Source organism: Homo sapiens, chromosome 1 (assembly GCF_000001405.40).
Source record: "Homo sapiens chromosome 1, GRCh38.p14 Primary Assembly".
Taxonomy (NCBI): Eukaryota; Metazoa; Chordata; class Mammalia; order Primates; family Hominidae; genus Homo; species Homo sapiens.
The window spans coordinates 161774139-161787187 of record NC_000001.11 but is presented as its reverse complement, the minus strand read 5'-3'; the positions used below and the strand labels follow the sequence as shown (position 1 = coordinate 161787187).

Genomic DNA, 13049 nt, shown 5'->3' with positions numbered 1-13049 from the left:
TTCACAATGGAATAGGTTGGCAGATAACATCTATGAAGGGATCAAAGTGAAAATAATCAGTATTAGAAAAAATCAAAATTGGGTCATCAAAAGTTGGACACAGACAGCACTTCTGTGACATTCCTGCCACAGATATAAAACCTGAATATGATCCTAAAGAAACATCAGACAAACCCGACTAAGAAATGCTCTTCAAAATAACTAACTCCTAATCCCCAAAAGTGACAAGGTGAAGAAAGTCAAGGATTAATGAAGAACTGTTTCATACTGAACAAGATTAAAAAGACAAGATAACCACATGCAATGCTTGATTCTGAACTGGGTCCTTTTGATAGTCTAAAGGACACCTCTGGGATGTCTGGCACAATTTAAACGAGAGCTGAAGGTTAGATTATAGTAACATATTAATGTTTATTTCCCGATTTTGTGCTTGTATTATGGCTAAGAAATATCTGTGCTTGTAGGAAGTAGACACTAAAGTATTGGAGTGATAGGGGCATCGGACTGGTAACTTACTCTGAAATGCATAAGGAAAAAACAAGTTATTTGCAAGGTACTCACAACACTTCTGTGAATTTGAGATTGTTCCAAACAAAAAATTAACATAAGCAAAAAAAAAGAGTAAAAATATGAGTGAATTATTTTATAACCTCTCAGTGGTGAAAACCTTCCTTTGAGTGAACAAAAAAGCAATTAAAGAAAAGATCAATAATTTGGCTATAGAAAACAGTACACCTGGGGAAAAATAAACACCAGAAATAAAGCAAAGAGACAAAAGAAAAATTGGGGAAAAAATATTTGCAGCTTATTTCACAAACTAAGGACTAATAATCCTAATATATAATAAAGCACCTAAAATATTAAAGAGAAAAAGACCAATACAATTCAATTAAAAAATGAACGGCCGGGCGCAGTGTCTCACACCTGTAATCCCAAGCACTTTGGGGGGCCGAGGCAGGTGGATAACCTGAGGTCAGAAGTTCGAGACCAGCCTGGCCAACATGGTGAAACCCTGTCTCTACTAAAAATACAAAAATTAGCCGGGTGTGGTGGCAGGTGCCTGTAATCCCTGTAATCCCAGGTACTCGGGAGGCTGAGGAGGCAGGAGAATTGCTTGAAGCCAGGAGGCGGAGGTTGCAGTGAGCCGAGATCATGCCATTGCACCCCAGCCTGGTAGACAAGAGAGAGAGTTCATCTCCAAAAAAAAAAAAAGAACAAAAATTTGAAATGACAGTTCATTTTTTAAAAAGAAATGCAAATAGGCCTTAAACATATAAAACATATGAATAGATATTATTTAACCATACTTATAATAAAAGAGATATAAAACAAAACCTATTGTGGAGTGATGATGGGAAAACAGGCCCTCTTACATACTGCTGATGAGGATGTAAAATTTTACAACCCCTATAGAGAGAAATTTGGCAGTATCTAGCAAAATTCAAGTGTATTTACCTTGGTGTCAACAATCCCACCTCTTGAAATATATCCCAAAAATATCCTGGTAAAAATATAAAGTGACTTATGTACCAGGTTATTTACTATAGGTTATTTGAGTCTGGAAAAGACTTATGTACAGGTTAATTGGGTCTGGAAAAGACTAAAAACAACACAAATACTCATCAATAAGGAAATCACTAAATTAAGCATGATAAGGCCATGCAATGAAACATTATGTAGCATAATGGGAAAATTATATACTCTGAAATTAAGAGTTATCCTGCTAAGCTAAAAAAACAAGGTACAGGACAGGGTATACAGTATGCTACCTTTTGTAATTATTAATTTTTTAAAAAATTAAATCATTTGGAGAAATTGTGGGACCTCAGAGAGCTACCAATAGCAGCAATCAGAGAAAAGCTTCATAAAGGAAGTAGTTTTTGAACTGGGACTTGAAGGATGAGTTTTCCAAGACAAGAAAAAAATGGGGCTATTCTAGGCAGAAGAAAGAGGATGTGCAAAAACCTAGAACTGTAACAGCAGCAATCTCACTGCTGTTGTTCACTGCCAGCATCTGGAACAGTGCCTGGCACAGCGGTTGAATGAGTAGAGTGCATAGGAGCTCTCAGAGAGGAACTCTCACAGGGCTCAAATTAAGGGGAATGTGGAAGTAGGAGGGGATAGCAAGAAAAGAGACTGGAAAAGTAAATGGGGGCCAGATCATGGAAAGCCTAGTACTCTGGGAATTTAAATTTCATCCTTGTAAGGACTGGGAAGTTACTAAAAAGTTTTAAGCAAATGACTGATACAGTAAAGCTTGTGACACTGAAAGATTTCTCTTTGAAGATTCCACTGCTAAGAAAGGTTTGAGGAGTTGTAAGGCTGACCAGTTAAAATCCTATTGACTTAATCCAGGTGAGATAGTGATGGCCTGGCAGGGGCAGAAAAGATAAATCCTTGAATTAATATGTGCATATAACCACCAGGATTTAGTAACTAAATGTAGAGCCTGCAGGAACAAAGATACCACAATTTATAGCACATATAATATACTAAAATATTATTTGATTTTTTTATTCTTATACTTTCCCTTTCCCCATTCTAAAAAGTACCTAAATCAGGTACTTCCTTTTCCTGGCCTCAGGGCTTTTGTCTGGACACAGAGCAGAAGTGTTCTTAAAAGAGCTACCAGACTTCTATAAAAACGTGAGCCCCTTCAAAAGGTAGCACTAGGCATTCCCAAACTAAGGCAATCATTCTAGATGCTGTGACTAAAGAGATATAAAAACTGACCATCTTACATTCTTCTATGTCCATATATAAAGAATGTATATCCTAATAGGGAGGAGAAAGAAAGGGTGGGAGAAAGGACAGTAAGCCAATAAACAAATACTGGATACTGTTAAAATGCAATGAAACAAATGAAACAATGAAATTATGGAGGCATGAACAGAGGGGAAAAGAGAGCAAAACCAAAGGCACTAACAACTTTCTAGCTCCCACAAGGCTCTTTCTTGAGTCTCAGTTCCCTCAATAAATGAGACAATATAACTCATAGTAGTATTCAATAAATGTTAACTGCCTCCTCCATATACATATTTTCCAGATAGCATATTATAACCAAAATCATTGTAAAAGACTGGCTACTCACAGGAACATGCTGAGTTGAAGAATAAGAGTCCACTGACCGAGGAGACGAGACTGAATAACTTGAGGAGGCTGGAGAAAGTGGCTGAGGTTCTGCCTTAATATCTTTAACTGGAAAACATGGAGGAAAGGTTTTACCCACTGGACAATAAAAACTTATAATAAAATGAACAAGAAAGAAGGTAAAATCTACTTTTAAAATTCAATCAGATATGGAAGCTAAGGTCACCAAAATATAACGAGTGAAAATGAAAGATGCAGAAAACAATATATCTAGTATGTTTCCACTTGTGTTACAAATTATATATATATGTGGGGAGGGGGTATATATGTATGTCTGTGTGTGTGTGTATATATATGTGTACACTTGCATCTGCACTAATTCTCTGGAAGGGTAAACAGAAGAAACTGGTAACAGTGGTTGTCTCTGGAAAATAGAACTTGTTGGCTGAGGAATAAAAGCAGGAGACATTTTTCTACTATACAGATTTTTGTACCTTTTGAATATTTTACCATATGCAAAATATTATAGCTTCCCAAAAAATTTAAAAAAATAAGAAACAGGAAATATTTTGGAAAGCATTTTTGACAATACAATTCAAACTCATAAAAAATGTTCATATCTTTTAAACTATTAATTTATCCTATAAAAATGTACTGAGCAACTATGGCCCAGGCAGTATCCCTTGGTGTCAAAGATAGAATAGGGTGGGGATGGCAGACTGTGTTTTCCAAAATTAGCCATACGATATCTACCATCCTTCATGATCTTCCCTCATGATCTTCTACAATGTGATCTTGCCACTTTCCCACCAAGAAGTAGAGTCGATTTCCCCTCCCCAAGAATTTAGGTGGGCTTGACTCCTTCAATCAAGAGAAGATAGAAGTAATGCTATGTGAATTCTGAAGCTGGAAATGCAGCCTCTGCTTTGTGTGCTGGAACACTCATACTTGGAGCCTTTGAAGTCTGACTACCCTGAGACCACCATGACTGAGAACACCACGCCACACAAAGAGGCCCTATGCAGGCACTCCATTTAGTAGTCCTAGTCTTCAAGTCATTCCACCCCAGGTGCCACACATATGAGTGAAGAAACCTCAAGATGATTCTAGCCCCCAAATGTCAAGCTACTACAATCTTCAAATCTCCCCAGTTGTGGTCTGGACATCATGGAGCAGAGACAAGCCATCCTTGGAGCACCCGGTCAAAATTCGTAAGCACCCAGTCAAAATTCGTGACCCATAGATTCTAGCAATCTAATAAAATGGTTGTTGCTTTAAGCAACTAAGATTTAGTTTGTCAAACGATAAAACCAGAACACTGACTTTGTGTATCCCACATTCTATGAAGGCAAACAGGCATGAAACAGTATAAGTAAATACATAAAATGAAGAGGAATAGGTAGTGCAGAGGTAGAGAGGAATTTAGATAGGAGAATGTGCTGGTTATTTATTCACTGTCTCTCAGCACTAAGTCCACTTTCTATAATCGGTGATATAAATTATTCCCAGCTGGCATCCTTTTAGGTCCTGTCAATAGGGGATACTAGAAAAAGCTAGAAGGGAGGAGAAGGGATTTTTCTTCATTCTACCATCAGCTGTATCCCAGCACTGGCAATTTGCTCCAGGTTCTGGCTTCTTTCAGTATACTCAACCCCGACCTCATCAGGCCCCCTTAAAGATATTAGTATCAGCCAGGTGCTGCCCCTTCTTAGAAGTACATGTATTAAATGCATGGGACTCCTCCACCAAGTTCCTAGGTTCTGGTAACCCAGGCTCTTCCCTTTGATTCCCTAAGCCCTGTCTGGTTCTCAGGTTAATCTTATACAGAGACATTATTCATAATTCAAAATCACTATTTCTATTTCTGATATGAACTGTTCATTCATTACACTACTGAAACATAACTATGAAACTCCTCATATCCATTTTTGGCAAGAAATTTGTTTACATAATTGCCATACCAGAAGTAGAATGCATAACACCAGGAATCTTTTAACCTACCAGAATAGCCCAATAACCCCACCTAATTTTGAGTATGACCAAACTACAAAATAAAATTGATCTTTTTAAAACTTTTACCAGTGAAACACATAATTACCTGTACAGATTTGGTTGTTGATGTCCCAAATGTCTGACTCCCAAGGCATCAAATCCAAATCAAAATCAAGATTATCAAAATTGTTTTCCTGTAGGTTTCAAATCAGCAAAAGAATATTAAAAGAATAAAACATACACATCTTAAAATCAAACTGTGAGACACAATTTGGCACAAATAATTTAACTGCTATTAGCCAACCTAGTAAAAAGAATACTCTAAGTCAGTCTTGTATGAGAATACATCTTGGATAGCCTAGAGATAAAATCAATTCAGTTACTTGAAGCACAGCAGCAACAACTAGGAAAGAGGTAAGGGATTCAGTATTTAAAACATTTAGTTGGCTTCATTATTTTCTATGAGAATGACCATTACAGGAGTCAAAAATGTGTCTTTTATCTTAAGGGAAATCCAGCAAAATACATTTTCCCATTGCCATTAAGAAAAACAAGACAAAGTAAATGCTATTCATAATATAATCTCTATATACAATAGAAAGAATATAGATATATCCAAAAGACAGGCAAGAATCATAAAGAGGATAGTTACCACTGAGTAATTTTCTTTTTTTTCTACTGTTCTATACTTCCTAAATTTCTAAAACTTTTATGAATCACTGAGTAATTTTCCTTTTTTCTACAGTTCTATACTTCTTAAATTTCTAAAACTTTTATGAATCAAAAAAAACACCACTTTTTAATCCTATAAAATAAAACTAATTTTCTAAAACAGGGTCCAGCAAACTTCTTAAAGCCTGCATTAAGTTCTTTTCATTTAGGTGGTTTTTCTAACCAAAATATAAGCATATTCTGGGTCATCCAGATAACCACCTTATACTATATACATGAATAAAGAAGTGTCACATAATTTCAGAGTCCTCATGTAAGTCTGAGATCAAGTTAGTACCAAACAGTACTATTTTAAATTAAGTGTCTGGAGTCACAGAGACAAAAAGAAAAGTAAACTTAATACATAAATAATGCAATAAAGTCAAAAGGCAGTAAATATTAACTTAATGTCACAAATGATAAAACAGCAACAATAGGATTGCTTGAGCCCAGGGGTTCAAGACCAGCCTGGGCAACATGGCAAAACCCATCTCTACCTAAGAAAAAAAATACAAACACTAGCTGGGCATAGTGGCGTGCACCTACGGTCCCAGCTATTCTGGAGGCTGGGGTGGGAAGATCGCTTGAGTCCAAAAGATGGAGGCTGCAATGAGCCAAGATCATGCCACTGCACTCCATCCTGGGAGACAGAGCCAGACCCTGTCAAAGAAACAAAACAAAACAACAACAACAACAAAAACAGCAACAATAAAATACACCTCGGCCGGGTGCAGTGGCTCACGCCTGTAATCCCAGCACTTTGGGAAGCCGAGGCAGGTGGATCACGAGGTCAGGAGATCGAGACCATCCTGGCTAACATGGTGAAACCCCATCTCTACTAAAAATACAAAAAATTAGCCGGGCGTGGTGGCGGGTGCCTGGAGTCCCAGCTACTCAGGAGGCTGAGGCAGGAGAATGGTGTGAACCCGGGAGGTGGAGCTTACAGTGAGCCGAGATTGCGCCACTGCACTCCAGCCTGGGCGACAGAGCAAGACTCCGTCTCAAAAAAAAAATAAAAATAAAAATAAAAAAATACACCTCAGGCAAAAAAAGTAAAAATGTATCTAGTAATTGGTAACGACCATTTGTTAACAATTTCTAGAAGAATATTATCATTTCAAAATGACTACTATATGGTTCATTTTTATTGAGAATGTAACAGAAACACAGAAGGGAAACTATTTTCTTATGATGCCCATAACTGAGTAAATATTAGTACAAGGTACATAAAGAGAACATGTGAAAGTGCACATGAAAAAAAAGTATTTAAATCATAAAAAAACCATTTTTTAAAAAATCAATCTCCTTCACTTTTTTCTCTTATTTGGATCTTCACATCAAAAAATTAAGCAGCCTTAGCCAGGTGTGGTGGCTCATGCCTGTAATCCCAGCACTTTGGGAGGCCGAGGTGGGTGGACCACTTGAGCTCAGGAGTTTGAGACTAGCCTGGCCAATGTAGTGAAACCCCGTCTCTACTAAAAATACAAAAATTAGCCAGGCGTGATAGCATGCACCTGTAGTCCCAGCTATTCAGGAGGCTGAGACATGAGAATCGCTTGAACCTGGGAGGCAGAGGTTGCAGTGAGCCGAGATCAAACCACTGCACTCCAGCCTGGGCAACAGAGTGCGACTCTGTCTTAAAAAAAAAAATTAAGCAGCCTTGTTTTAGCAACCAAAAAATCCTTAAACTTTCTTAATCTAAGTAAAGTTACCAATGTTGCTTGCCTGAGTGCCAGCAACACTTTTAAATAAGGGCATGATCTACTTGAGGAAACTTCTGACTCAATCTTCAGCCAAATAAGTCAAATACCTTCTACAGCATAAAGATTTTATCACATCAGAAATTTAACAGGCCCAGTTCATGCAAAATGAAACATACTGGCACTTATATACTCTAACTCTTCAGTGATTTAGCATGGGAAATTCTATTGCCGTTTGGAAGAAGAATGACATGAGGGGTCTCAGAGATTCAATCCCTTCATGTCATACTAGAAAAACTAAGGAACTGAAAGATTGAGTGATTTGCATAAAATAATAGAATGTTAGTTGTAAAATCAGGAATATATTTCCCTTAATCTTTCCAATTGAGCACACAGTTTCTTGACATAGTTTAAAAGAAACATTTTCTTTTAGGATTCTAGATGTTATGAAATATGAGTATCAGTTGCTTATTCAAATAGCCAATATTAAAAGGCAGTTTAATCAATGGGCCACATTCTAAAGTATCTCATGGAGTAAATGAAACCATTAAAATCCCTAGTACTGATTTTTTAAAATATATCATGTCCTTCATTCTCTTCTGTCGATTAATGGTAAAAACAACTGCTAAATCATTGTTTAAGAAATGTCTGAAACTCACTAAGCAATCTTTACATATTTTGTACTCAAGTTAATAAGAGCCTAAAATGATGTGATATTCAACCTGATTGACAAATTACTCTGCTCACTTGAATTACTTCTTAAGTGAAACAGCACCTCATCCATTAAAGAATAAGACAAAATCAAAGTTCTATAGGGCAAAGAGTTTTATATGTACTAATCAAGAAAAGAAAATCTAAGATATTCTCGGGGACTCAGTGTTATAATAGTTTTCACACAGACCTCTAACCAATCAAAGGTAAGGATACACCTACTTTTCAGAGCTTTCTACATGAATACACAACTTTTAAAAAGGACTAACTTAGTCAAGCAGAACTTACCAACTTCCTTTTTAAAAGCAAAGAATCTGTAAAAACCAAGAAGTAGGCAGGTTAGTGACTTTTCCAAAGTCACCTGCCAATTCCCTTATGTAGCAAAGTATCTGTAAAAACCAGGTAGGCAGATTAGTGACTTTTCCAAAGTCACCCATCCCTAGGGCCAAAGGTGGGCCTAGAATTGCAATACAATGCAATTTCTACTGTCCTACATTTACTGATTACAAAATGGCTACTAACTTTCATACTTAATGGTAGAAGCTATTTACCATTAAGTATGTAACTTAAATTACTAGCCTGAACCTGTTGTCCTGAAACTTTCTTGCAATAATTAGGGTTAAAGACTAAATATCACATTATTCAACCTTAGTAAATACTTACATACGTCTCATTTGCTGCTTCCAATTGCAGCTCATCAGTGTCTGTGAAATAACCGAGTTCAGCAAAGAGAGCAGAATCTTTGGACAAAGGAAAAGAATAGAAATGAACTGTCAATTCAATTATTTGACAAAGAAACAAGCACTGTGTCCCTATGTCACCTCTATTAAGGTTTCTCATTAGCCATTACTATTATTGATAAACTCCAGTAATGTGAATAAGCAATTCAATGCTCATTTCCAATTTATGTGTTGTTTTCTGCATAATTTTTATCTTGTGAACTGAATTCTTACACCAGGGATCAAAAAAGGTTTTATGTCATATGTCATGTAAGACTAATTGGTAGTGGCTTTATGGAACATTACTAACAAGAATTCTGATGCTACATCTGGGTTCAGCATGAAGAGTTAATGTGGTTCATAAGTAATAGGAGACAACTGTGGAAAGTAGACATGGTTCATAAGCAATAGGAGAGGGCTGTGGAAAGTATATACACACTGCGTATTTGTTATCCATGCCTTAAGTTAAGGGTGCAACCAATTTTCTATCTAGACAATAAAGGATTCATTCATCTAAACCATCAAATTCATTTCAGCAAATCTAACTATATTCCAATTTCCTAATGAGGTTTCATTACAAATCAAGAAATATGTGGATACAGAAAACATTCTTCAATACACTATACTGAAAACTTTTTGTAAAGAAAGGTTAAGGTGTTGACCAAGGCCCAAGAAGGCTCCTCACCATAGAATCTATGAAGTTCCTATTTCCTCTGACACTTTCAAAACTTTAAGCACTTTGAAGAGTTTTTCAAAACTAGGTCTTCCTTTGTACTCTCTACCTATTTTATGCTGCTGAAACTGCTCTGATGATTTCCTCAGTGCACAAGTGTAGGAACTGCACTGTCAGTCTGTTATTAACCTGACCAATTACAGTAACATTTCACCGCCTAAGACAAAATAGTATTTAGCAAAAAAATGTATACGTAGTAATAACAAAAGGTTACTCACATGACTCTCAGAAAAGACTACTCAGGTGCAGAGCCAAGAAACATATAAGCAGAGGACTGCGGCTTATATATAGGCTGAAACTCCTTTAAAGAGTTCTCTATCTGGCTCTCTCATTTCTTTCCTCCCATTCGTTCTAAACCTGCTCCAATCAAGCTCCCCGCTCCACATACACATAATTATTAATGTCCCCAGTGACTTCCATATTGCTAAATTCAATGGTAAACTCATAGTCCTCATCTTACTTGACCTATCAACAGCATTAACATAGTTGATCCTTTCATTTTAACTGAAGCATTTTCTTCACTTGACTTCCAGAATATCACACTTACCCAGTTTTCCTCCCACCTCAGTGGTTGACCTACCTTGCTGGTTCTTCCTCATCTCCCTAACACAAATTTGTCCCTGGGCTCAGCATAAACGTTTCTATCTATCTTACTTCCTTGGTAATCTCAGCTGAGCTCACGGCTTTAAATAAAATCTATATACCAAGGATTTCCAAATATACATCTCCAACCCACACTTCAAGATGCATGTGCAGTGAGTATGACATCTCCTCTTAGATGTTTAAAAGGCATGTCAAACCTAACATATCCAAAATGAGCTCCTCATCAACCCCACCAAACCTCCTACTGCTTTGTCCTCATCTCAGTTAATGACAATTGGATTTTCCCAGTTGCTCAGGCCAAAAACCTTGGGATCATTATTACTTAATTATTTACTTCTCTTCCTCACTCTCCATAATCAATCTACCAGAAAATTCTGTCAGCTCTGTTCTCAAAATATATATCTGTAATGTGGCTTCCTACCTTTCCTCCCATTCTTCCTTCCCTTCCCAACCTTCCTTTTCTTCCCTACCCCTCCCAACACAGAGATGTCAGCTTCCAAAGAAGCAGGGCAACAAAGGTGATGGGGTTTTGTGCACAGTCATCTCCAGCAATATGCCTCATATCCAAGGAAATAGGATGGTGTGGGAGAGACTATTGCCCAGCAAAGATGCCAGCATGCCCCAGCCCAGTGGGAGGGGGAATGGAGTAGCAGATGGAAAACGCAGGCTGAGTGGTTAGGAGAGTGGTCATACTGAACAAATATGTTAGGTGACTGAGCAAATGGTTGAATATATCTAAAATAATTAGAATGCTCTGGTTTCTCTTCAGAACGAATGAATCTTTTGCCTTTTACTAAAATAATTGGAGTCAGATTTCTCACAGTCTGAGAAAGGATTTAAGAGCATGGAAAGAGTCGGGAGACTAAAAGAATCCTAAGATGTTGGATTAGAACTAGAAGTATTAGTAAATAAACTCATTTAAAATATAACACATACAGATAGCTGTGGAAGTATATATATATGTACACACATATGCAGATGTTTGTATTATGCATATATACATATATACACATGCACATATATATATATATACACACATGTATATATATTTCCTAGTTCTGTCTGCTAAGAGGTCCTAGAAGCAATGACATCCCAGTAGCAATGAAAATACTGGGTGACCAGATCTTGGATACTAAATACCATCTTCCACCAAACAGAAGTCCACTAAGGGGTTCCTTGGAGAAATAACCAATTCCAGGGCTTGCAGCAGGGAAAGTGCAAAATAAGCCTGGAAATCTTGCTGTGCCAGAAATTCTCAGCAAATGACAGGAATATGTCAAAAAGAACAAAGGCCCCAATATGAATGAATTCTCAGTGGTCAAATCTGGGAAAATCTGAGCATCAGAATAAAATGAGAGTAGCGGTTTACCAACCACCAAATAAAAAAGGAATCAATGAGTTCATCACGGAACAAAGGAAGGAAGGAAGGTAGGTAGGTAGGTTGGTTCTTATAGTGCAATGTCAATCAACAATGATAGAATGATAGACAGAATGATAGAGTTAGATAGTTACCATTTGGCAACCATTAGAGTGGTAACTGATATAGATTGGGGTTATTAATGAGGCTAGGGCTCGTGGTTAGAGGTTTAATAAGAAAAGGATATTGGTGTTATGTCAGATTATCTCCCCCAAAATAGCAATAAAATACAAAATGGGAAGCAGTGGCTTTACAGTGGTGAAACCTAGAAGATACCAACTTGACCAAGTGATCATGTGACTATATCACAGGATGATATGATGGCATAGGAACATCGCATAGTATTTACACTATAATGTATACCCTCATTTTATTCTGATGCCAAATTTTCCCAGATTTGACCACGGGGAGTTCATTCATATTGGGGCCTTTGTTCTTTTTAACATGTTCATTTGCTGAGAATTTCTGGCCCAAGATTTTCCAGGCTTATTTTGCACTTTCCCTGCACTTTCCCAGCCCTGGAATTGGTCATTTTTCCAAGGAACCCCTTAGTGGTTTAGGATCATCTTGTCGAATAAAAGACTTCTACTCTTTAAGACTGTCAAGGACATTAGAGACAGGAAAAGACTAAAGAACTGTTCCAGATTAAAGGACACTGATGAGACATGATAAGTAAAAGCAATGAGTGTTTGCAAGTAAAATCCTAGACTAGAAAAGCAAATCATTATTGAAACAGATGGCAAACTTTGAATGGTGTCTTTGAATTGGATGACACTGTTGTATCAATGTTTATCTCCTGACTGGAAGAAATATAGGGTAGTAATAGAGGAAAGTGGCCTTCTTTTGGGAGGCAGGAGGATAGAGAGTATACACTACAGTATTTAAAGGTGATGGGTCAACACATCTCTCTCTCTTGAAAGGGAGAAAGAGAGAAATTGAGTAAATGCAGTAAAATTTAACAACTGAGGAGTCTGTGTAAAAGGCATGCAAGAGTTCTTTGCACTGTTCTTAAAACTTTTCTATAGATTTCAAACTATTTCAAAATTTTAAAATGTATGTATATATATGTGTGTATGTGTGTGTGTGTGTGTGTGTGTGTGTGTGTACATATCCATAATCCAACTACTTCTCATTACTCCACTGCTACTATTGTAACTCATGGGGATTGCTATAACAGCCTCCAAAACGTCTCCCTGCTTCTGCCCTTGCCCCTCTTTCAGTTTATTTCCAACAGAGCTGCTGAAGTGAGCCTATAAAAACAAAGGATGTTATTGGGAATCAGGATTCTCATAGCGGCAGAAGAGAAATACAAGCATATGGTGCAAGAAGGTGAAAAAGAACCCTGTGATGTTAGCTTTGAAGTATAAAGCATA

The 13049-nt window shown here is 37.2% G+C and overlaps 1 protein-coding gene across 6 annotated transcripts in view, besides 2 other annotated features; it reads right to left on the bottom strand.

Annotated features, from left to right (window-relative positions):
• The window catches only part of ATF6 (activating transcription factor 6), a 197751-nt gene that overhangs the window by 176883 nt on the left and 7819 nt on the right, over positions 1 to 13049 (bottom strand). For all 6 annotated transcript variants that reach the window (NM_001437597.1, XM_011509309.1, NM_007348.4 and 3 more), the window contains exons 2-4: positions 8868 to 8944; positions 5189 to 5276; positions 3092 to 3198 (exon numbers count right to left, since the gene is read on the bottom strand). In NM_001437597.1, coding sequence (NP_001424526.1) covers positions 3092 to 3198; positions 5189 to 5276; positions 8868 to 8944 — 272 coding nt within the window. The remainder of the gene's footprint in view (positions 1 to 3091; positions 3199 to 5188; positions 5277 to 8867; positions 8945 to 13049) is intronic.
• Positions 4890 to 4979: an enhancer, noted in NCBI's record as "active region_2008". NCBI's record gives its function as "activates an Ori minimal core promoter by ATAC-STARR-seq in GM12878 lymphoblastoid cells {active_cell/tissue: GM12878}" and the evidence as "EXISTENCE:reporter gene assay evidence [ECO:0000049][PMID:35858748]".
• Positions 9678 to 9797: a silencer, noted in NCBI's record as "silent region_1488". NCBI's record gives its function as "represses an Ori minimal core promoter by ATAC-STARR-seq in GM12878 lymphoblastoid cells {active_cell/tissue: GM12878}" and the evidence as "EXISTENCE:reporter gene assay evidence [ECO:0000049][PMID:35858748]".